Source organism: Homo sapiens, chromosome 11 (assembly GCF_000001405.40).
Source record: "Homo sapiens chromosome 11, GRCh38.p14 Primary Assembly".
Taxonomy (NCBI): domain Eukaryota; kingdom Metazoa; phylum Chordata; class Mammalia; order Primates; family Hominidae; genus Homo; species Homo sapiens.
In genome coordinates this window covers 112,182,761-112,209,137 of record NC_000011.10, presented here as the reverse complement: position 1 = coordinate 112,209,137, position 26,377 = coordinate 112,182,761, and the positions used below count along the sequence as shown (strand labels likewise).

Genomic DNA, 26,377 nt, shown 5'->3' with positions numbered 1-26,377 from the left:
GACCTAACCATCATGTAAAGTATGGACTTTAGTTAGTAATAATGTAACACTCCTACATTGATTCATCAGTTGTAACAAATGTACCATTAGCAGGAGAGGGAAATATGGAAACTCTCCATACTTTCTGCTTGATTTTTCTTTAAAAGTAAAATTGCTCTAAAAAACAGTCTATTTTTTTTTGGAAGTCCTTTATTGTAAAGGTAATTCTTTTGTCTGATGACAAACAGCAGCCACAGTGATTATTCTGGATCTCCACAATGGACAAATTCAATTTCTTCTTGAGACACAAGTTTACTTCTATATTTCTGAGGTAATGTTTTCATTACTTCTGCAGTGTCTGGTACATCCACAAATCCAGTAATTTACTTCCCTTAGAATGCTGGGAAATTGCAGAATCGTGAGATGGTTGCCCTGCTGATCTCAGAGCTTCTGGTACATTGGGTTTAGGATTGTCTCTTCCAGCAGGGAAGCTTATTAATGGAGCATGTGGCTTGACTACCTGAACGACACTGCTAGCAGATGCATCTTGCTGCCCATCATGACCCCCGAGAAGGGACAGTTTCTATTATATTTTTTTAATCTACAGCCACAGCATGCTTCATGGTAAAATGCTGCAAGCTTTGCCTCTCAGATTGGGAACAAGTTAAGGATGCCATTATCATCACTTATATTCAACACTGTACTGAAGATCCAGTGAAATAAGACAAAAAAAAAAAAGCCAATATACAGCTTACATGTAGAGTTAGAAAAGGAACTATCATTACTTGCATATGATATTATAGATGTAAAAATCTAAAAGAATCTATAATTATTAGAATTTGTAAGTGTAATTACTATATTAGTGAATATAAAATCAACAAACAAAAATCAATTGCCGGCCAGGTGCGGTGACTCATTCCTGTAATCCCAGCACTTTGGGAGGCCAAGGTGGGTGGATCACTTGAGGTCAGGAGTTCAAGACCAGCCTGGCCAACATGGTGAAACCCCATCTCTACCAAAAAAATATGAAAATTAGCCAGGAATGGTGGCACATGCCTGTAGTCCCAGCTACTCAGGAAGCTGAGGTGGGAGTATTGCTCGAACTCAGGAGGCAGAGGTTGCAGTGAGCTGAGATCACACCACTGCACTCCAGCCTTGGTGACAGAGTGAGACCGTCACACTGTCTCAAAAAAAAAAAATTGCTATATAGCAACACTAACATAAAATGAAAGCAAAAAATAAACAACATTTAAAATAATGTAAAAAAAAAACCTAGGAATAAATCTAACAAAAGATGCAGAAAATATGTAACCAGAAAACTATAAACATTGAAAGAAATTAAAGAAGTCTCAAATAAATGGAAAGATATATTGTGTTCACGTACTGGAAGACTCAACATTGTGTAAAGAGGTTAGTCCTCTCTCAAATTGATACATTGGTTCAGTGCAAATAGAATTAAAATGTGACCATATTTTTGTGTGGGGAACTGACAGCTGATTCTAAAATTTCTACAAAAACGTGAAGGGCCAGGGATGGCCATGACACTCTTTTCAAAAGAAAAATATTAGGATAACTTGACACTAAACCTTAAGACTTTTTTAATGCAGTGCACAAGTAACCATAAGTAGAAACAATGGAACAGAATATACAGTCCAGAAACAGAATAATGCATATACAGATACTTGACTTCTCTAGAAGATAACATAGGATAATATTTTCATTACCTTGCCATGAGAAGATGTCTAAAACAAGATGTACAACGTATAAGTCATAAAGGAAGAGACTGTATACTGGGCCATATTAAGTTAAGAATGTTTATTCATTAAAAGGCACTATTAGGATAATCTGATAAAGATAGCTAGAAAAATACCTATAGCAATTTTATATTTAATAATGAATTATTAAACATTTTTCAACACTACCTATTCAACTTCTATTCACTATCTTGCACTTCTATTCAACTCGAAGTCCTAGCTGGTACAGTAAGGCGAGAAAAAGAAATAAAGCCCTAAGTATTAGAAAGAAAGCTGTCATTATTTTCAGGTAACATGACTGTGCACATAGAAAATCCAAAATAATCTGTGGATCAACTATTTGAACTAATAAGTGAATTTAGCAAGATCTCTGGATATGAAGATAATATACAAAATCAATTGCATTTCTATAAAGAGCAACAAACAGAAAATGAAAGCTTAAAAGATACCATTTACAATAATTTCAAAACACACAAAAAGAAATGTAGTATCTTTATACTGAAAACTATAACTTTACTGAGAGAAATTTTAAAAGACCCAAATAAATGGAGGGATATTCCATGTTCATGGATTGGAAGACTCAATATTGTAAAGATGTCAATTGTCTCCAAATTGATCTACAGTTGCAATATTGTATCAGGTTTTTTCCTTGCAAAAACTGACAAGTTGACATCAAATTTAAAAGTTTCTGCACAGCAAAGGAAACAATCAACAAAACGAAAAGGCGACCTATGGGCTGGGGAAAAAAATTGCAACCACATATCCAATAAGGAATTATACTCAAAATTTGTATATTTTTAAATTTTTTTGTAGAGATGAGGTCTTGCCATCTTGCCCAGGCTGATCTTGAACTGCTGGGCTCAAGCAATCCTCCCACCTTGGCCTCCCAAAGTGCTGGGATTACAGGCGTGAGCCACCACACCTGGCCTCAAAATTTATAAAGAACTCTTACAACTCAATACCAGAAAAACAAATAACCCAATTAAAAAATGGGAAAAGCCGGCCGCCGCCCCGTCTGGGAAGTGAGGAGCGCCTCTGCCCGGCCGCCCACCGTCTGGGAACTGAGGAACACCTCTGCCCAGCTGCCGCCCCTGCCGCCCCAGGAGTGCCTCTGCCCAGCCGCCCACCCTCTGGCAAGTGAGGAGCGCCTCTGCCCGGCCGCTGCCCTGTCTGGGAAGTGAGGAGCGCCTCTGCCTGGCCCCCACATTGTCTGGGATGTGAGGAGCGCCTCTGCCCGGCCCCCGCCCTGTCTGGGAAGTGAGGAGGACCTCTGCCCAGCTGCCGCCCGTCTAGGATGTGAGGAGCGCCTCTGCCTGGCCGCTGCGCAACCTTCCAAGTGTGAAGTGACAGCCTTGTGTGTGATCTTTTCTGTCTTCCCCAAGTTTGCATTTTCAATATTAAAGTTTACTTTTTAATTAAAAGTTAAAAATAAATTAATTAATTAATTAATTAAAAATAAATAAAAAATGGGCAATGGACCTGAACAGTCATTTCTCCAAAAATAGAGGCCAGGTGTGGTAGCTCACACTTGTAATCCCAGCACTTTGGGAGGCTGAGGCAGGAGGATCACTTGAGCCCAGAAGTTTGAGAAAAGCCTTGGCAACATAACAAGGCCCCTGTCTCTACAAAAAAGTTTTAAAAATATTAGCTGAGTGTGGTGCCATGCACCTGTAATCCCAGCTACTTGTGAGGCTGAGGCAGGAGGATCATGCATGCCCAGGAGTTTGACAGCAGCCTTGGCAACATAATAAGACCCTGTCTCTACAAAAAAGTTTTTAAAATATTAGCTGAGTGTGGTGCCACGCACCTGTAGACCCAGCTACTTGGGAGGCTGAGGCAGGAGGATCACGTGTTCCCAGGAGTTTGAGGCTTCAGTGAGCTATGATCATGCCACTGCACCCAGCCTGGGCAACAGAGTGAGATCCTGTCCCTAAAAGAATAAAATAAAAAATAAAATAAAATTTGAAAGTCCAATAGGCATATAAAAAGGTGCTCAACATCACTAACCATAAGGGAAATACAAATTAAAACCACTATATAAAACCTCACACTCATAAGGATGGCTATTATCAAAAAGACAAGAGATAACAAATGTTGGCAAGGGTGTAGAAGAAAGGGAACTCTAGTACATTGTTGGTGGGAATATAAATTGGTACAGCCATTATGAAAAACAGTATAGGAGTTCCTAAAGAAATAAAAAATACAGATGACCCTTGAACAACACGGAGTGGGGTAGAGGTGCCAACCCCCTACATAGTCGAAAATCCACACATAACTTTTGACTACTCAAAAATTTAACTACTAATAAACTATTGTTGACTGGAAGCCTTACCAATAACATACAGTTAATTAACACATATTTTGTATTTCATATGTATTATATACTGTATTATTACAATAAAGCAAACCAGATAAAAGAAAATAAGAAAATGTTATTAAAGGCTGGGTGTGGTGGCTCAAGCCTGTAATCCCAGAACTTTGGGAGGCCAAGGTGGGCAGATCATCTGAGGTCAGGAGTTCGAGAGCAGCCTGGCCAATATGACAAAACCCCATCTCTACTAAAAATACAACGGGCATGGTGGCAGATGCCTGTAATCCCAGCTACTCGGGAGGCTGAGGCTGGAGAATTGCTTGAACTGAGGAGGCGGAGGTTGCAGTGAGACGAGATCACGCCATTGCACTCCAGTCTGGGCAACAAGAGCAAAACTCTGTCTCAAAAAAAATAAAATAAAATGCTACTAAAAGTCATAAGGAAGAGCAAATATATTTACTATTCATTAAGTGGTAGTAGATCATCATAAAGGTCTTCATTCTCATTGTCTTCACATTGAGTAGTCTGAGGGGGAGGAAGAAGAGGGGTTGGTCTTGCTATCTCAGGGGTGGAGAGGTAGAAGAAAATTTGCATATAAGGACCCATGCAGTTCGAATCCATGTTGTTCAGGGTCAACTGTACAACATATGACCCAGCAATCCCTCTCCTGGGTATATACTCAAATGAGATGAAATCACCACCTCATGAAAATAGCTGCATTCTTACGTTCATTGTAGCATTATTCATAACAGTCAAGAAACAGAAACAACCTAAATACCCATTGACAGATGAATGGATAAAGAAAATGTGATATATACACACAATGGAGTATTACTCAATCTTAGAAAAGGAGATCCTGACGTCTGCTACAACATGGATGGACCTGGAAGACATTATGTTAAGTGAAACATCCAGACACAGAAAGAAAAATATTCTATGAGGCAGGGCGCTGTGGCTCACGCCTGTAATCCCAGCACTTTGGGAGGCCAACGCAGGCAGATCACCTGAAGTCAAGAGTTAGAGACCAGCCTGGCCAACATGGTGAAACCTGGTCTCTACTAAAAATACAAAAATTAGCCAGACATGTTGGTATGTGCCTGTAGTCCCAGCTACTCGGGAGGCTGAGGTAGGAGAATCACTTGAACCCGGGAGCAGAGGTTGCAGTAAGCCGAGATCGCGCCACTGCACTCCAGCCTGAGTGGCAGAGTGAGACTCCGTCTCAAAAAAAAAAGAAAAGAAAAAAAAATTGCATGATCTCATTTTTATGTGGAATTTTTTAAAGAAAATCTCAAATACACAGAGAAAGACAATGAAACAGTGGTTACCACCAGAGGGGAGGGGAAGGCAAAGACAAGATGTAGCTCAAAGGATACCAAACAGTAGATATGTAGTATGAACAAGTCTAGAGGTCTAACGTACAAACGTAAGAAATAAAGTTAATAAGATTGTATTCTATCAGAGATTTTTGTTAAACAAGTAGATTTTAACTGCTCTTGTCACACAAAAAAGTAACATGTGAGATGATAGATATGTTAATCTGCCTCACTATACTAACCATTTTAATATTTACATGTATCCCATAACATCATGTTGTAAACCTCAAATATATACAATGAATTTTATTTTTAAAACAAGAACAAAAACAAAACCTGATAAATGGATTCTAAAATTTATAGACATGCAAAAGGCCATGAAAAACCCAGGCAATCTTAAAACAGAAAAGAGATAAACAACCACAGATGTCAAGACCCACCATAAAGCTATAAGTAAGCTTAGTAAGGCATAAGTAAACTTAATAAGTACTATTTTACAAACATTTAAAAAGACAATTATAGCTAAAAAATAAAGCTACAGCTAGAAACAATGTATATTACATAATTCAAGGAAAAACTTTACCTTGGATTCAGCATCAGGAAAAAGTGAATCCCTTCAACTAGGTGGACTGATTGACGGTCTACTTTGCTATTCCTTCTAGCAAACTTTGGTGCTTAAGTGTAATAAGGAAATAAGGAACTATCACATATGCTTTTTTTTTTTTTTTTTGGAGATGGAGTCTTACTGTGTTGCACAGGCTGGGGTGCAGTGGTGCGATCTTGGTTCACTGCAACCTCCACCTCCTGGGTTCAAGTGATACTCCTGCCTGAGGCTCCCAAGTAGCTGGGATTACAGGCACCCACCACCACATCTGGCTAATTTTTGCATTTTTACTAGAGACGAGGTTTCACCATTTTGGTTGTCCAGGCTGGTCTCAAATTCCTGAGCTCAAGTGATCTGCCTGCCTCAGCCTCCCAAACTGCTGGGATTACAAGCGTGAGCCACCGTGCCCAGCCACATATGCTTTTAAACACATATCTTGGCTCTCTTTGCCATGTTTCTTACTTATTAGGTATTAAATAAGCTATTTCAAATTATTTTTAATATTAAATAAATGATGAAGCTGTGTCTTCAATGCTTTAAAACTACTCTCTCTCATTATTTGCCACAAGGAGACAAGAGAAACACGTAATTCCTAGGTCAGGCATGGTGTCTCATGCCTGTAATCCCAAGACTTTGGGAGGCTGAAGCAGTCAGATTACTCGAGGTCAGGAGTTCGAGACAAGTCTGGCCAACATGGTGAAACCCATCTCTACAAAAAAATTAAAAATTAGCAGGGCATGGTGGTGCGTGCCTATAATCCCAGCTACCCGGGAGGCTGAGGCACAAGAATCTCTTGAACCTGGGAGGTAGAGGTTGCAGTGAGCCGAGATCGCACCATTGCACTCCAGCCTGGGTGACACAGCAAGACTCAGTCTCAAAAGAAAAAAGAGAGAGAGAGAGAGAGAGAAACATGTAATTCCAAAGCCAAAGCCAGATCTTGGAGTTCAAAATTATTTTGATGACTCTTGACAAATTCTAATGTTTACCTGATCAAGCCCTTCCCCAGCCTTCCTGAGATTCTGTAACTGGTAAACTTCTAGGGTTCTTCCATTATCTTGACAGCACAAATCAATTATAACACAGCCCTGGTCCTCAAAGGCATTGATTTGATGAAATGTAACAAAAGGTTTGCTGTAGTATCTCCCTGGAAGGAGCTGCAGGGGAAAACACAAACAATGAAAAAAATTTTTTTTAGTTTTCTTCTTTTTCCCTTTCCTTTAGGAAACAGGTCCAAAAAGTTCAAAATAAGAAAATTAGAAAGATTTTCCCCTCTGAAGTGGCAGGTCCAGTATATATAAAAGTAGAATACAGAATGTAGAAGCAAATATGCTTTGATTTAAACATTGCTTGCTTAAGCAATGAACTGGGTCTATTTGATATAGACCAATCAATTGTTATAACGAACTTAAAATCCCTCATGAAATATAGCCCAATGTTTTGAGTGATATGTAAATCTTGGACTCTAACTGCATGGTTAAATAGAAAATATTGCTACTCAGTATACTGATGATAAATTCAAAGACTAATTTTTTTTAAGGTGCAGTCATTACTAAATTTTTTTTTGTAATGAGATCCAGATAGAGTAAATTTAAGATACTATCTCTTTAGAGAGGTAAAAAGTAGGCAAATATAATAGCATTATGAATCAGGAGTATAAAAAGATATTCAATCAACATGCTTAGACTTTAGTAGGATTGTCATAGTCACATATTAAGAAGCCAGAGAATTGGGCCAGACGCAGTGGCTCACGCCTGTAATCCCAGCACTTTGGGAGGCTGAGGCAGGTGGATCACGAGGTCAAGAGATCGAGACCATCCTGGCCAATATGGTGAAACCCTGTCTCTACTAAAAATAGAAAAAAATTAGCTGGGTGTGGTGGCACACACCTGTAGTCCCAGCTACTCGGGAGGCTGAGGCAGGAGACTCACTTGAACCCGGGAGGTGGAGGTTGCAGTGAGCTGAGATCTCCCCACTGCACTCCAGCCTAGTGATAGAGCAAGACTCCATCTAAAAAAAAAATCTCAAAAAAAAAGGAAAAAGAAGCCAGAGAATCAACTAATTAAAGTATTACTGCAAAAATTACAGAAGATTTCTGCACGAACAACACCCTCTTTAGCAACTATTATGATATGGAAAAAGTCCATGCTAAGAGAGTTTCCTGGATGCCATTTTAATTGAATCAGATCATTAAAAAGATAAAATCATTTCCTATAATTCTCTAATATGCAAAATCCATCGTACTAATTAATAAGTAGCTAGCTCAACCTATAGAAGAAGGTAATATCCTTGATTAAAAGTGTCTTATGCACTTTTAACCAGGGAAGATTTTTAAAAAATCAACTATATGGAAATTTGCCTTTGTTTCCAACAATTTTCATGATAAATATACTCAAAATACTCCACCTGTCCAGTGCGTTTTTCCACCACATGAAACCGCGTATTACACTGGGGTTCCCAGCTTATCCCATCTGAAAAGGCCTTTCCCCGAATTTTAGAAGTGGCAATTTTCCACAGGTTCATCTTTAGAGGTTGTTCAATGAAAATTATATAGTTCCTTGTCATTCCTAAAAGGTTCCAGCAAACAATAAAAATGTTATTTGGCAAACTAGAGTTGTCTGAAATGTGCCAGTTATGGGGACTTGTCTGAATGCCTGGACACGTTACTGATGCCCTAAACAAATGCCAGCCAGAAATACATGTTTACTGTCTCCCAGCTTTACTATACGTATTTCCTGTTCCTTTATAAAAAAGGGAACTGCTTAGAATAGCTTGGGTTGCATGTTCTCAGCTTGCTTTTTATCTTTTTTTCCTTTTCTTTTCTTTTTAAATTATTTGGTTTAGGAACAAAGTAAAAAAGTATAGTATTAAAGTGTCCTTTATGATCTTTACATGTATCCTTTAATCCTTTTCCTGCTTATACTGGGGGTAAGAATCTAGAAGCAGTTTGGCTATAATGATTTAAAGTACAGAAAATAAATATTCTGAGTAAAAGCTGAATCAACCTATATAGAATATGAATTTCCCCAAAAAATATAGTCAAGACAACATTTTCATGTATGATTACTATTTGTGGGCTTTAAGGTTGCCTAAAATTTTAAATTATATCAATTAATTTTTTAGTAATTGCTTATACTAAAGCAACTACAGTATATCTTTTCAAGCAGTCAGCTGGCTAGGGTCAGGAGTATGTGACTAAACAGAATAACCTTACCTGGCATCAAAATGCAACCTTGGTCTCATTATCACCATAGCGTGATAAACTATTAACATAACATTTGCCAGACTAGTCCTTCTGCTACAGCAACATCAAGGCAGAGCCCACTGAAATTTGCCTTATCTCTGGACTCACCAAAGCTATGGTAGTAAGAAGGTTTCCCTTTCTCTGTAGAAGCAATAGAACATATCACCTGGACTCCATGGATTGTCTCCCCAAGGTCCACCTTCTCTGGAGGAACCCGAATAACCTTATAGGAGAAACCTGAAAAATGAAAAGTCCTATCTTACCTGTTTTACATATATTCTAGATTAAAAGACAACCCTTGCACTTGTGGACTTGCCAAAAGCAATTAAGAGATTTATGCAATATGTGTGACACTCTTATTTCCTGAAGGGTTATTTCAAACAAAGATCTGGATCTTAAAAATGTTAGCTCTATGAAAATAATTAGCTAACGTTTTGAAACAGACATCCAAAGTGATCAACCAATGATTCATTGTACTATAATGCTAACTTCATCTCTAATTCGTAGGAAACATTAAGATAGCAGCCAAGCACTGTTCACAATAGCAAAGACTTGCAACCAACTCAAATGCCCATCAATGATAGACTGGACAAAGAAAATCTGCCACATATACACTATGGAATACTATGCAGCCATAAAAAAGGATGAGTTCATGTCCTTTGCAGGGACATGGATGACGCTGGAAACCATCATTCTCAGCAAACTAACACAAGGACAGAAAACCAAACACCGCATGTTCTCACTCATAAGTGGGAGTTGAACAATGAGAACACATGGACACTGGGAGGAGAACGTCACACACCAGGGCCTTTCAGGGGGTGGGGAGCTAGGGGAGGGATAGCATTAAGAGAAATACCTAATGTAGATGACAGGTTGATGGATGCAGCAAACCACCATGGCATGTGTATACCTATGTAACAAACCTGCACGTTCTGCACATGTACCCCAGAACTTTAAGTATAATAATAAAAAAGAGCTATTATATAATGAGGTAAGGATTATAATGGACCTGTCTCATATGTATGGTGAATAGACAGGTCATAGAGTTGAAGTTCTTAAACTCAAAAAAAAAAAAAAGATAGCAGCCAGGAATATCCTCAAATTCTGTTCCTTTACTCCCTTCCCCTATTCCAACAACTACAGTCTCCATTTGCACTCATGTCCAACTCCTTCCCTCCAGCCCTCTGGACCCCTAGCTAGGGTCACTCTGGGTTCCATTTCATCCTTTCTCATCAACATTCTTTCATGCAATCATTCATCTGGCTATTGCTTACTGGCTCTTCAAGAATCAACGCAGATATCCACTCCTCAAGTAGTCTTCCCTGACTCCTCCCCACCCCAAAGGCACTTGGTGCCCCTATTGTATGTCCTCATTACATCCTCATAGTCATAGCACATATCTCATTGTATACAATTTTCTGCTTGTTTATCTGCTTTCCAGTACAGTTCTTTATTTATTTATTCTGCAACTACTACTTTTTGAGCACCTACTATATTCCAGACACCATTCTGAGTGTTCTTAGTACTATATTCTAGGCACTTGTATACAGAAATATGCAAAATAGACAAAAATCTCCCCCCTTCCTCCACTGGCTTCTTCTTCATTTTTTTTAGAGACAGGGCCTTGCACTATCACCCAGTCTGGAGTACAGTGGTGTGATCATAGCTCATTGCAGCCTCGAACTCCTGGTCTCAAGCAATCCTCCCACCTCATCTTCCCAAAGTGCTGTGATTACAGGTGTGAGCCACTGTGCTCAGACAAAATCTCTTATTTTGCCTTGTTGTTTTTCTTTTAAATCATATAATAAGTAAAAATACAATGTATCAGATGACAATGAGAACTATAATGGAAAATAAGCCAAGGAATAAGGATCAGGAGTGATCATATGAGGAGTAGGGGCTACTGTTTGCAACTTTAAATATGCTGGTCTGGAAAAGCTTCACTAAGTGGGTCATGTCTGAGTAAAGACCTAAAGGAGGTGAGGAAGAAAGCCTTGAGGATATCTGGGAGAAATGCATTCCAGGTGGAGGGAAGAGCAAATGCAAAAGTTCTCAGCCAGGAGCACGATTGGAGTGTTTAAGTATCAGCTAGGAGGCCAGTGTGGCCCTATCATGACAAGCGAGAAGGAGAGTCTAGGAGGTAAGCTCAGAGAAGTGGGTGTGGGTTAAAAGGATAACTCTGGTAACTCTGGTGTTACAGAGCTGAAAAGAAACTGAAGTGGGGCAAGGGCAGAATCAGGGCAACTAGTTGAGGGGCTATTGCAGTCATTCAAGTGAGAAGGGATAGTGACTCAAAGTAGAGTGGTGGCCATGGAGGTGGTGTGAAGTGGTTGGATTTTTGATATATTTTGAAGGCATTGCTGAAATTACTTCTTTTTTTTTTTTTTTGAGACAGGGTCTTACTCTGTCACTCAGGCTGGAGTGCAGTGGTGCAGTCACGACTCACTGCAGCCTCAACCTTCTGGTCTCAAGTGATCCTCCCACCTCATCCTCCTGAGTAGCTGGGACCACAGGCACATGCCACTATGTCTGGCTAATTTTTGTATTTTTTGTAGAGATGAGGTCTTGCTATATTGTCCAGGCTGGTCTCAACTCGTGAGCTCAAGCAATACACCCGCCTTGGCCTCCCAAAGTGCTGGAATTATAAGCATAAGCCACTGCACCTGACCCTGAAATTACTTTTTGATCAACTGATGTAAGAGATAAATGTAAAGGATGATTCCACAGTTATTGTCCTTAGCAACTGGAAAGATGGAGTTAGTATCTCCTGAGATGGGGAAGACTCATCTTAAGGAGAGAAAGAAATAAGCCAGGCACAATGGTGCATGCCTATAGTCCAGCTGCCTGGGAGGATGTCTTGAGCCCAGGAGTTCAAGTCCAGCCTGAGCGACATAGCAAGACCCCATCTCTAATCGAAGAAAGCAAAAGAAGAAGAAGGAAGAAGAAAGAGCAATGAGGGAGGGAGGGAAAGAAGGGAAGGGAAGGGAAGGGAAGGGAAGGGAAGGGAAGGGAAGGGAAGGAAGGAAAGGAAGGAAAGGAAGGAGAACAAGGAAGAGAGAGAAGGAGGAGGAGGAGGAAAGGAAGGAGAACAAGGAAGAGAGAGAAGGAGGAGGAGGAGGAGGAAAGGAGGAGGTGGTGGTGGTAGTTTAGAGGAAAATATCAGGAGTCTGGTTTTTGACAAGTTAATTTTGTAATGCCTATTAGACATCCTAGGAAGAATGCTGAGTAAGCAATTGGATATAAAATACTTGGGAGGTCTAGGTTGGGGATATAGATATGTTTTGAGAACCCACTACATACAAAACATCATGCTTTGTACAGTGATGAAAGAAATATTAGACAAGCTCTATAGTCCAAGAGTACTCTATTATTGTCTCTAATATTAGTCTGAAGAACATATTTTAAATAAGTATTAAAAACCAACTGGATTGATTAATGTTTACAGGATTTTTACAAATTTTAAAAAGCCTTTTAAAAATATCTAGAAAAGCTAAAACCAAAGCTTTTTACTTCCTAAAGGTAGCAATTACTAGCAAGCATTTTACTGTATTACAATGAGAATCACTAAGTTTCCCCCAAATGTCTATCAAGTAGTCAAGCTCCCTGCAGTTGCCTGCACATTAAGTTCCAGTTCATAAACTTCTCACTGAACCAAATAATCAAGTGAAGAAAAAAAAAAAAGTAGATTCAGTGTTCGTTGGGATTAGGAGAAGATAAAGAGATGAATTTCCTGTCTCAGCAACTGGATTACTCAATTCACGGAATTTAAACACATTAGTTAATGAGCTGTTCTAACTGCAAGTCTTGAAGACATTAGGTAAGACAAACAGACACCCAGGAAACACCCAGCAGAGGAATGTCCAGAAAGATTGGACCTGCCCAATACTGTCAGCTGAACTTTGCAAGACTCTCCAGGAGTTTGTATAAGGAGCAAACTGAGGCAAAGTAACAAGCACAGGCTCTCATGATGGGTGGCTGGGTTAATCGGTGAGATCCAGGGACCACTTGCACCAAGATCACCCAGAGACCATGTTAAAATGCAAATTCTTGGCCCCTTTTCAGTTCTACTAAACCGGAATCCCTGAAGATGAATGAAATCCAGATGATTCTATCTACATTCCAGATTATTGTTAGGCAATTAAAGGTTGAAAATCACAGATCTAGTTACTTTAATTTTAGAATATGTAATTCAGACCAGGCGCAGTGGCTCGCGCCTGAAATCCCAGCACTTTGGGAGACCGAGGCAGACGGATCACTTGAGGTCAGGAGTTCAAGACCAGCCTGACCAACGTGGCTGAAAACCCGTCTCTACTAAAAATACAAAAATTAGCCGGGCATGGTGGCAAGCACCTGTAATCCCAGCTACTCAGGAGACTGAGGCAGGAGAATCACTTGAATCTGGGAGGTGGAGGTTGCAGTGAGCTGAGATCGTGCCACGGCATTCCAGCCTGGGCAAGAGCGAGCCTTTGTAAAAAAAAATAAAAAATAAAAAAAAGTGTAATTGGCCAGGCACAGTGACTCACGCCTGTAATCCCAGCACTTTGGGAGGCCCAGGCGGGCAGATCACGAGGTCAGGAGACCAAGACCATCCCGGCCAACATGGTGAAACCTCGTCTCTACTAAAAACACAAAAATTAGCCAGGCATGGCAGAGGACACCTGCAGTCCCAGCTACTCCAGTGGCTGAGGCAGGAGAATCGCTTGAACCTGGGAGGCAGAGGTTGCAATGAGCGAGATTGCGCCACTGCACTCCTGCCTGGCAACAGAGCAAGACTCCATCTCAAAAAAAAAAAAAAATGTAGTTTAGAATGGTGAAATAGTATTTGTCATATTATGAATGAGTTACAAAGTTATCTACTTGGTTAACAGAGTTAATTTATTATAAAATTGATTTTTTTAATGATCAAGATAAGATAGATAGACCAAAAACTGCTGGGTTCATGGATCCATTTTGCTGAAATATTTTACTTAGAAGGATGTTTGCTGTTTCCTATAACAGCATTGAAGAATCCTCCTTATCTGAGATCAAGTAATAAAGAGGAGAGAGAGCTGGGTGTAGAGGTGTCCAGAGCACCCTCTCTCTACTTGTGCCAGTAAAAAACAAACCTGTAGTATTCATCTTTATATACACACCGTGCCTGGTCTCAATTATTTCTAAAAAGACCTTTATTGCAACTTTACCATATGGCCCAAAGGAGTTCCCCATATTGTATGCTGTTCCATCCAGGTCATAATGAGGATGTGCAGTTGCTCCATTCACAGCAATAAATTTGCTCCAATCTACCTGCAAATTTGAGACCACTGGAGATTTTTAATGGGCAGATCTCTATTCACATGCATAAATAGTAGAAATATCTAATGTTTTTAAAAATATGATAAGAAAACTGCAATGTAAGCCCTAATTTCTTGCCTCTGAGAAATAAAAATTATTTTTCCCACTAAAAAAAAGAAATCAAGATTAAAACAACAAACAAAAACACATCACCACTACTAACAACAAAACCACCCTGAATAAATTTGCCTAATATCACAGGAAAATTCAAAAGAAGCATAAGAATTAAAATTAAAAATCTAGTCTAAAATTTTCTTTTTAATTAACATGTTATGTGAAGGAAATACAGGTATAGACAACCTCCAGTCCAATACTAACCATAGCTAGGAAGAACACCCCAACTAGCCAAAGTAGATCAGTACTCTTCTATTTCTCCTTTACCCTAGCCTTCAGATATTAGGACTAAGGAAGGAGTTTAGAATTATATTTAAGGAAAACCAACCCAGAGGCCATCAGGCCAGAGAGTAAAGGTGACCTGCATCATGAATAACTTTCTTTTTGTGTAGTTAAGGCTTCAATTTCTTCTTGATATATACTACTCTAAAAAGTATTTCAAATGGAAAGAAATGTTAGGATCTATTTTATTCATTTTTTTTTACCTGTACTTTACCTTTTCTGTTTTTTCCAGAGTTTCAATGTCCACTTTATTCATAAAGTTGGTCTCAGTGCAGAGGTAGTAATCACCCTTGTACCGCACATAGTTGACATTAGTATTGTCAGTCATGGCTGAAACCAAACCCTAGAGTTATTTAAGTACCACAGCTTACTGTAGACGACGCTAAGCACACACTCAAAGGGAGAAAGCAGTTTCAACATCCTCTCACATACACAAAAAAATCTATTTTCAAGATTTATGTTTGTATAGATGGTTATATATCGTAATAGTTTAAATAATCATCACTATCACCTGCAGCTTTACCAGGCAGCTCAAACCTGGACATGAAACGTTCAAAAACATTCTTGCATGGATCCGGGAGAGCCAGTGTGCCAAATTCTGAGATCACAATTCGGTTTTTAGCACTGTTGGCCTTATATGTATCACTCTGTAGAAACTTGCTCCTGTATGTCACTGTGCCCTTTGCCATTCTGAACTGGTGAAGCAGCGCCATCCCATCAAACCAATGATTGTACCTTCAAACAGGAGAAAATAAATAAATATCAGTAAGAAAACATGAGATAAAAATGAGGGACAGAGTGATAGATCTTCATTTCAAATATAAAGATAAGGAAATGGGACAGGTTCCCAGCACAACCTGATTAGTCAGAGAACTTGAAATTGTGGGAGGAGAGCATTTTGGGTATATCCTAGGTATAAAAGGAAAGAATAGGCTGGGCGCGGTGGCTCACGCCTGTAATCCCAGCACTTTGGGAGGCCGAGGTGGGTGGATCACGAGGTCAGGAGATCAAGACCGTCCTGGCTAACGTGGTGAAATCCCATCTCTACTAAAAAATACAAAAAATTAACTGGGCATGGTGGCATGCGCCTGTAGTCCCAGCTACTTGGGAGGCTAAGGCAGGAGAATGGCGTGAACCTGGGAGGCGGAGATTGCAGTGAGCCGAGATCGCGCCACTGCACTTCAGCCTGGGCGACAGAGGGAGACTCTATCTCAAAAAAAAAAAAAAAAAGAATAATTTACATTCTCCTGACCCTTACCCCTGTCAAAAAAAAAAAAAAAAAACCTCACATTTTAGAAAACCCCTATTGTGGTGAATCCTAAGAAAATTCTAATCTTTACTCCACAGCTAAGATAATAGCATGAGAGGATATGGGATGGCTGATGTTTAACAAATCAGAATGAGCTCCAGGCCGGGCACAGTGGCTCACACCTGTAATCCCAGCAATTTAGGAGGCTGAGGCAGGTGGATTGCTTGAGACCAGCCTGGGCAACATGGCAAAACCCCGTCTCATTAAAAAAAAAAAAAAAAAGAAAGAAAGAAAAAGAACAAGTTCCTAAGCTTTTAGAAATAGTTATCTTCATATCTTATATGTATTAAAGTTTCCATTTACTTTACAATTTTTCAGCTTTATCAAGATTATGCTAAAGTAGACAAATAAGATAACTGTCCTTCCTAGATAATCATTTTTGTCCATATGATTACACTAGAAATGATCTACTTAAATAGTTAAACATTGAAAACTGTAAGGAAAAGTTTGTGGCTTCGCTTTTTAAATGGTTTATTATATGGTCTCTTCTTTCATATGCTTAACACATTGATTAACTGATTAACACATGTTAATCAGTTTAATTATTGGGTTCAGCTGAAGACCCTAAGAGGTAAGAGGGGAAATTTTGCCTCCCCAAACATATACTGGAATATTACTTATCCTTTAAAACAAAGGAAATCCTGTCACATGTTACAACATGAATGAACCATTGAGGACATTATGCGATATGAAATATGCCAGTCGTAAAAAGACAAATGCTGTATGATTCCACTTGTTAATCCACTTATATAAGGTATTTAAAGTAGTCAAGTTCATAAAAACAGAAAGTAGAATGGTGGTTAACAGGAGGAAGCAGGAAGGAGAAATAAAGAGTTGTTGCTTAATGAGTATAGAGATTCAATTTCACAAAATGAAAAAGTTCTAAAGATCTGTTTCATGACGAGATGAATATACTTAACACTACTTAACTGTTGTCTTAAAAATGGTTAGGATGGTAAATTTTATGTTATATGTATTTTACCAGAATTTTTTAAATTGCAGGAAAGAAAAAAGAAAAAGTCCTTCTTTAACCCAATGATTTGAGATGCCACTATTATCAGATACCTAAATTTCCCTAAGTTCCTGGGTTTACTTCTGGTCTTTCTATTCTATGTCATTCATCTATTGGTCTATTCTTGCACCAATATCACAATGTTTTAATTGTAAAGGTGTTATGGTGTATTTTAATATCTGGTAGGGCTAGTTGCTCCCTCTGAAAAAAAATTTATTGTTTTCTTGTCAATTCTTACATATTTATTGTGCTATATGAACTTTAGTATCAATTGGTCCAACTTTCTTAAACAGCTTGTTGGAATTTTTATTAAGATTGTATTAGATTTATAAATTGATTCAGGAGAACTGGGACATCTCTATGATGTTGAATCACTCTATTCAAGAACAGGGGATGGTCTTTACATTTGTTTGAATTTGTCTTCCAAGGGTGTTTTAAAGTTTGCATATTTCTAAATTCATTGCTAAGTATTTAATCTTCTTTGTTGCAATTGTAAATGAAGTTTCCCTACCATTATGTTCTCTGATTATTGTTTGCATATATGAAGGATATTATTTCAGTGTGTTAATTTTACATCCTATGACCTTACCTTTTATTGTTAAATTTAGTTTTATCATTGATCCTCTATGGTTTTCCAGGATTAATACATTATAGTAATATGATATAATAGTAATATTATATCATTTGCATAAAGAGATAATTTTACTTTACTAGTCCTTGTGTCTCTGGTCAATGTCTTTCATCTAATTGCATTGCTTACATCTGGTACAATGTTGAACAGTAGTGAAGATACTGACCATCCCTTCCTGTTTCTGGACTTGAAGAAAATACTGGTATATTTTCCAATGTAGTATTACTGCTTGTAGCACCAAGATATAATAGATAGAGATACATAAGATATTTATAATATATATTATATACATATACCAAGAGATATATATTAAGAAATACATGCATATAAAATCATATTTAGCAACTATCCAACAAATCCTACAAATCCTATTTTCTTTTCTTTTTTTTTTTTTTTTTTTGAGACAGAGTCTCACTCTGTCGCCCCAGGCTGGAGTGCAGTGGCACGATCTCAGCTCACTGCAACCTCTGCCTCCCGGGTTCAAGCAATTCTCCTGCCTCAGCCTCCTGAGTAGCTGGGATCACAGGCACGTGCCACCACACCCAGCTAATTTTTTGTATTTTTAGTAGATACGGGGTTTCACCATGTTAGCCAGGATGGTCTCGATCTCCTGACCTTGTGATCCACCCACCTCGGCCTCCCAAAGTACTGGGATTACAGGCGTGAGCCACTGCGCCCAGCCAAACCCTATTTTCTTAAGCAATTTTTAGGAAGAATGGATGTTAAATTTTCACAAAAGCTTTTTCAACATCTATGGAGATAATTCTGTGATTATTTTTCCTGGAACTTACTAATATGGCGTATTTGTATTGTATTAATGAATTTACTAATAATAAGCCTAACTTGTATTCTTGAAATTAATCCCACCTGATCAAAGTTAATTTTATTTTTTAATGTGGTATTGAATTCTGTTTCTTAACAAAATATTTATTAGTGTTATATTAGTATTATATATTTTGTACTTCTTTTTTAAGAGACAGGGTCTTGTTCTGTGGTCCAGGATGGAGTGCAGTGGCACTGTCATAGCTCACTGCATCCTCAATTCTGGGCTGAAGTGATCCTCCTGCCTCAGCCTCCCAAGTAGCTGGGACTACAGGGACACGCCCCCACACTTGGCTACTTTTTAATTTTTTTGTAAAGATGGAGTCTCACTATGTTGCCCAGGCTAATCTCAAGCTCCTGGCCTCAAGAAATCCTCCTGCCTCAGCATCCCAAAGTGCTGGGATTACAGGTGTCAGCCACGATATTTGGCCTATTTTGTACTTTATCGTGGATATTCGTAAATAATATTAGTCTGCAGTTTACTTTTTTCCATGATCTTTGTCATATTTAGATATTAATATGATGCTTCCTTTATAAAAACAATAGGGAAGTTTCCTTCATTTTTGATGCTCTGAAATAATTTATAAAGTATTGGGACTATCTCACATTTGAAGGTTTGGTAGAATTCATCTGTGAAATAATCTGGGCCTGGTAATTTTTTTGAGAAACATTTCCTTAATAAGGTTCCTATTTCTTCTAAAGAAACTGGTCTACTTAAAACTTCCCTCTCTGAGGCCAGGTGCTGTGGCTTACGCCTGTAATCCCAGCACTTTGGGAGGCCGAGGCAGGCGGATCACAAGGTCAGGAGATCAAGACCATCCTGGTTAACACGGTGAAACCCCTACTAAAAATACAAAAAAATTTAACCAGGCGTGGTGGCAGGTGCCTGTAGTCCCAGCTACTTGGGAGGCTGACACAGGAGAATGGCATGAACCCGGGAGGTGGAGCTTGCAGTGAGCCGAGATCGTGCCACTGCACTCCAACCTGGGCGACAGAGTGAGACTCTGTCTCAAAAAAAAAAAAAAAAAAATTTCCTTTTCTATCAATTTTGTTTAATTCTTTTTTATTTTTATTTTTGTAGAGACAAGGTCTGGCTAGGCTGCCCAGACTGGTCTCGAACTCCTTTCCTCAAGCAATCCTCCTGCCTCACCCTCCCAAAGTGCTGAGGTTATCCTGCCTTGAGCTCCCAAAGTGCTGGGATTACAGGCATGAGCCACCACACCTGGCCTCCATCAATTTTGGTAATCTGCTTTCCCTATAGAATTATCCATTTTATCAAGGCTTTCAAATGTATTTGCATAAAGGCCTTCAAAGTCTCTTGTAATTAATTTTTTTCTGCTTCAATTATTTCTTCTCCATTGTCATTTCATACTTTGTATGTTTGTGCCTTTTCCTTTTTTCTTCTTGACCATGTTAACTAATGGTTTGTCTACTTTGGTAGTATTTTTCAAAAAAACTTACAATAATTTCAAGAATTTTTGCTACTTAATATATTTCACCTTGTTAGATTGTGTCTCAAGAGATCCTGTCATTCCATGCATTCATTTATTCAAGTCAACATCTTCTTGAGTCCCTACTATCTGCCAGGCATTGTGCCAAGGTCAGCACTTACAGGCACATAAATAATGGATACAAAGTGATTGCTGCTACAAGGGAGAAACTTTAAAAAAAAAAAAAGCTATTTATGCAGAGAAGGAGCAATAGGATGGAAAGCTGGGGGAATCAGGGAAAGGTCAAGAGGGAAGGAGACATTTGGCTGGTTCTTTACGGATGTCTGCCAATTGCAGAGAGGACAAGGGCAGAGATGATGGAAGGAGGAAGGGTCAGAAGACATATAGTATCTTAGAGGAACAGCCAGTTGAGGGGGTAGCATGTGGGCGGAGCAGGTGATAATGTTGGAGAAACAGGTCTGCCCACGACCACCAGCACTTAGACTAAGGCTTAATGACCTTCAACAGGAAAGTGTGAAGTTGTGAAACAGGAGAGTGAAACTGTGTGACCGGCATCCTGGAATACAAAGAACAGCATACAGATTGAAGAAGCCAACGAGGAGCCCAGGCAATAATTCAAGCAAGAGAAGATAAGCACCTAAACTGAAGCAGCACCAGTGAGCAAAGGACAAACTCCAGAAACAAGTCAGAGATGACTGATAGGATGTAGACAGCGACAAAGAGAGGGTCCAAAATGTTGGACCTGAATGACTGGCTGGCTGGTGATGCTTTAACTGGGATGGAGAAGACATGAAGAACAAGCACTGGGAAAAGTCAATGGCTCGGTTTTGAGAGAGTCTGAACTATTTGTAGAACACCAGAGTATAGATGTTCCACAGCCAGTTGGCAAAACACAGGTCTAGAGCCCAAGAGCTGGGGGCGGGGTGGGAGATCCATGTTTGAGAGTATCTAGATAAGTTTGCCAGTGAGATAAGTGCCATCTACCAAGCACTTACTACATGCCAGGTATTGTGCTAAGCACTTTGCTACATCCCTTATACATATATTTTCCCTTCACATTGACCCTGCGAGGAAATATTTTTCCCATTTTACAGATGTGGAAACCAAGGTTCAGAGGAATATGCCCACAGTTGCAGGGCTGCTCAGTGACAGAACAAGGGTTTGAATTCAGTGATGACGCTAAATCCTGGGCTCTACAGCATCCCAAAAGGTAAGGTGAGCTCTAAGAGTTATTTGGCAGATGAGGAAATGGGAGGGATCGTGATGCATCAAAGTTTCAGAGAAGAGGAAAAGAGCTGCGTCCTCTGATCAGAAGTGTGGGGAAGTGCGGAGGTGGGAAGAGGGAAGCTGAAGGAGTTCAAATGCAGCTGTCCCTCAAGTCATTCCTTCCTATGAAGTAGGCCAGTTTATCTGCTGAGGGTGAAAGGGACGGGGAGAATGAAGGAGGCTTCAGGAAAGGGTCAGAGACTTGCGGCAGACCCTGTGAGAAGATGGAAAGAACACTGACTGCTAAAGATTCCTGGCAGCACCAAGCACTCAGCTAGGACTGGAAATCATCATTTTGTAATTGAATCAATCAGCAAGGTTGTATGATTTGCTCTAGACCTGCTCAGCAGGACTGGGCCATGAGCAGGGGAAACCAAGGATGGGCTAATCTAGGACTGAAAATCATCAGAGGAGAGGCAGTGACCACCAGGGCAAAGGAAGTGAGCGTGGTGTTGAAAGTGCTTGAAGTGACTGACGGTAAAGTCTGGGCCAGGGAGAAGAAATTAAGAGACAGTAGATAAGCCTTAAGAAGGTAGTGGACAGGAAGGAAAGGAGAACTTGATGGAATGAAAAAAATAAGTTTAATGGGAATGTAGGACCGTGAAAACTGGGGTTTTGAGCAGAGTAAAGTTTCAGAGTTCAAGATTTCAGGGGTGGAGAAATTCTGTATAGTAAGTTCCAAGTGTGGCCTTAGTATGTGGCCTTGTCGAAGTGGCATGGAGGGGGACAATCATTACAGTGGCGATAGTCCAGGAACTGGGAGCCTAGACTATGGATCCTGAAATCCTGTCTAGAGAATGGTAGAGACTAAAGGTGCTGACGCTATTTAGTATTCTGCCCAGATTCATGTAACTTTATTCTTTTTACTTTTGTTTAATTTTTGTTTTTTGTAGAGATGGAGTCTTGCTATGTTGCCCAGGCTAGCCTTGAACTCCTGGCCTCAAGCCATCCTCCTGCCTTGGCCTCCCAAAGCACTGTGATTATAGGTGTGATCAACCACACCCAGCCTTCACATAACTTTAAAAACTAGTATGTCTTCAATTAAATCATTGATGAAAAAAATTTAATTGAAGATAGACCTTTGGCATGTCATCACTGTGTCTGCATGCTGACATGGATCTGTTAAATGGCATCTAACAGAGTGATAAGAGATTCACAAGTGAGCAGGGCTATTCTTATCCATAGGTGAAGGGTTACACTGCCCTTCCCTAGGTCACTGCCTCTCCCTGTAGGTCCTATCTGGGGAGTCAACCACTAAACTGAGTGTCTATCTCCTTTTGACCTAAAGATATCTGTCCAAGGGGAAGGCAAGACCTTGTTCCTGCTATAAATGCCCACCACTGGCTCTGAAGAAACTGATTTGAGGACAAAGTAGACACTTGTGAGGGCCAGCCATGCCATCCACTTCTCCCACAAAGATGCTTATCTTCAAAGAGGCCTGTGGGGCAAGCCTGGGCCCTGAGTGGTTCTGCTACTTGGTTTGAACAATACATTACAGCCTCTCCTTCTGCAGCAGGTGAAATACCATATACCCTCTGTAAGAGGCTGTTTATTCTCTGGGAGCTGGATTAGAAGTTTCTCCTCCTCCTCCCCTTTGCCCTCCTTCTCTTCTACTTCTCTTTGCCTCATAATCTTTTTTTAAACATCCCTAATTCTTGGTCTGTTTCCAACAACAGACCATGAGAGGCACAGAAGGACCATGATCAAATTCCAACCAGGCCCAGAGGAAAGGGCATGATGATTTACCAGACAGAAGCTAGAATGGTGATTGCCAGGGGTTAGAGGAAGGGAAGAATGGGAAATTAGTGTTCAGTGGATACAAGGTTTCAGTTTTGCAAGGTAAAATGAATTCTGTGGATGGATGGTAGCACAATCGTATGAATCTACTTAATGCCATTAAATTCTATATATAAAAGTGGTTAAGATGGTAAATTGTATGTTATCTATATTTTACCACAATATTTTTTTAAAAAACAATAATTCCTGGAATTCATCTAGCCATTAAAAATAATGATCGTTCAGACTTGGTAGCAACATGGATAAAAAGGCTTATGATAGTGTGAAGTTTTATTAAAGTGGAGCAAAAAATACTACATATAACTGTAATTGTTTAAAACAAATCCGTAGAAATAGCGAGGAAAACTGGCAGGAAATACATCAAAGTGCTAATAAAGGATGTGTCAGGTGGTACATGCTTCCCCTAGCCTCCCTTTTCTATATTTTAAAAAGTTTATATGGGTAAAACTTTCATAATAAATTGTTTCTAATATTTAAAAATGTTTAAAACAAAGCAGATTCCTTCCTGGCCATAGAGGTTTTGTCACATAGCTTCACGTCCCTAGTAGACACTGAGAGAAATTTATACTGAAGAGTTATTGGTTTTTCATTTTTTTCAACACTTTATATCGTTTATTAATGCAGTATACATTAGATCTAAAATCTGCAGTTTCTAAGCACACCATGTTTAGATCTTTCAGATTGTTCTGCAGTTTTAGGTTATTTCTACAGAGGTACCTTTAAGTGAATGAATAATACCTTCTATAATTCCTGAAAATATAGTACAGAGTGAAATGATTTAAATATAATTTAGGCACATATTGATTATGAAAATAGATTATTTCTCAATACAATACTTCTCTGTCTTGGTAAAAATAATAAAGCAAAGAAAATAATTCATTTCTGAAGTTGCTTTCCTTTACTTGTAAAGGTCTGATCTCCTCCCACTATGCATATGTACCCTTTACTGTTAAGGAAAGCTTTGCATATGTACATATGGAAGAATAAGCTACATAAATACTAAAGATATGTCATTCCCCCAAAGGAGACACAGGTGGCTTTCAATGATTCCTTGCCTCATGTTGATGAGTCTGTAGAATTCAGAACCCATTTGGACACAGCTAATATCCCTGCACTTGGGGTAGAAATAAGGACACCAGGTCATTGGTAGGGAGGTACAGGCCCTTCCTCTGCTGCTGCAGAAAGATAATGACTCAAGAAAATTGGGCTAAAATTTGTTTAAAAAAAAAACAAAAAATATAAGTAAAAGAATCACAGGTGCTGACTGATTGGTATTACATCTTGGACGAGCCAAATGCCTTTATTTTTACTTTATATATATTTTTTGGTGGCCGTAATCAAATGTGTGTTTAAAATTCCTCATTCCCAGGCCAGGCACAGTGGCTCATGCCTGTAATCTCAGCACTTTGGGAGGCCAAGACAGGCTGATCACGAGGTCAGGAGATCGAGACCATCCTGGCTAACACGGTGAAACCCCGTCTCTACTAAAAATACAAAAAAATTAGCCAGGCGTGGTGGCGGGCACCTGTAGTCCCAGCTACTCGGGAGGCTGAGGCAGGAGAATGATGTGAACCTGGGAGGCGGAGCTTGCAGTGAGCCGAGGTTGCACCACTGCACTCCAGCCTGGGCGACACAGCGAGACTCTGTCTCAAAAAAAAAAAAAAAAATTCCTCATTCCCCACTGTAGGGTTCTAGCTGCAATTATATTACATTGGCCTTTAGCAGACAACTCAACCATATTCATTAATATAAGCTTTGATTGCAGTAGCTCTGGATTTAGTATCTATTTCTAAGCTGGCCCTATGTAAACTATTTGGTATTTGAATTAAATGAATATTAATGATGCACCTTGGTTTTTTGGTTTTGAAGTATCTTCCTATGCTTGTGATGATTGTATGAGAAAACTAGGCTAATAGTGTAAACAGACAGAATTGCTTGGTCTGGTGTTCAGTGGAACTTGCCTAGAATGAAATTCTGAGAAATTCTCATTTGTAAGTGTTGTAGTGATAGGTAAGTTCTTCCTCCATCCAGAGTTCTACTGTACCTTTGGAATGACAGTGATGTACAACAATGTCTTTCTTTCCACTCTGTTTCAATCAGTAAGAACTGGATATTACTTTAATTTAGCTACTGTTTTTTCCTAAAAAGTAAACATTGTAAAAACGAACCTGAAAAGAGTCTTAAGGAGTCTGATCTCACCATATTCATACAGTGTGACAGGTATTTAAAGAGGGGAGGAATCACTAAAGCAATTTATAAACCTAAACAACCTTTACCAAGTTTTCATAAAGTTTTAACAATTTAAATATCCATACTGCATCTAGGTATTCAATAAATATAATTGCATATGTTGTGCTTTCCATAAATTAAAATCCTCAAATGCATCTCAAACCAAGATGGTATTTCCACATCATGCCTATTTAAAAGCAAATATAATAGATACTATTCCTGGTCATAAAACTAGGTAAACCCTCCTACCCCGTTCAAAAAGCAGCAATATCTAGTTTCCCTACATCTATTAAATGAGTGCTTTTCTGTTAAAAATCAGAAGATGGAAAAAAGTCAGTTTTTTCCATTATGCACCGCTGAGAACAAGCATAATCCTCTAAATGTTTTTTTAAAATTTCCTTATAGTGTTATTTCTTCTAGACAACTGAGTGGATGGAGAAAGAAAAGTGATAAGGAAAATATTTTCATCTTGTAGATCTTCCTCCAGTCCCTAAAATTTCTCATCTGACACTTTGTGACATGTATAGTGGTGTTAGCATCTCTTCAAATATAGCTCCCTTCATGTTGGACCCTCTCAGGTTGGCTTCTTGAAGATCACACCCACACAGATCACAGTTATCTAAATCAGTTCCTGCCAGAGTCGCTCCTCTGAGGTTACAGTTCTTCAACTTTGCATTTTTTAATGTAGCCACCCTCAGGTTAATTCCTGTCATCTGACTTCCTTCCATATCTACACCTTTCAGATTAACACCTTCTAAATTGGCTTTAAGACCAGAAGGATCCTCAAAATTACACAGTTTCAGGGATGCTCCTTCCACATTAGAACAGAGCATCTTTTTATATATATATAAGTTCTAGGGTACATGTGCACCACGTGCCGGTTTGTTACATATGTACACATGTGCCATGTTGGTGTGCTGCACCCATTAAC

At 39.3% G+C, this 26,377-nt stretch overlaps 1 protein-coding gene and 1 pseudogene across 5 annotated transcripts in view; both read right to left on the bottom strand.

Moving 5' to 3' along the window:
* BCO2 (beta-carotene oxygenase 2) overlaps positions 1-26,377 on the bottom strand; it is a 43,435-nt gene that overhangs the window by 9,809 nt on the left and 7,249 nt on the right. For 4 of the 5 annotated variants that reach the window (NM_031938.7, NM_001037290.4, NM_001256397.3 and 1 more), the window contains 6 exons: positions 15,441-15,664; positions 15,144-15,259; positions 14,383-14,485; positions 9,311-9,439; positions 8,365-8,525; positions 6,948-7,115 (listed from right to left, as the gene is read on the bottom strand). In NM_031938.7, the coding sequence (NP_114144.5) occupies positions 6,948-7,115; positions 8,365-8,525; positions 9,311-9,439; positions 14,383-14,485; positions 15,144-15,259; positions 15,441-15,664 (901 nt within the window). The remainder of the gene's footprint in view (positions 1-6,947; positions 7,116-8,364; positions 8,526-9,310; positions 9,440-14,382; positions 14,486-15,143; positions 15,260-15,440; positions 15,665-26,377) is intronic. The other variant, NM_001256398.3, reaches the window with a different exon arrangement.
* Positions 99-563, bottom strand: MRPS36P4 (mitochondrial ribosomal protein S36 pseudogene 4; annotated as a pseudogene).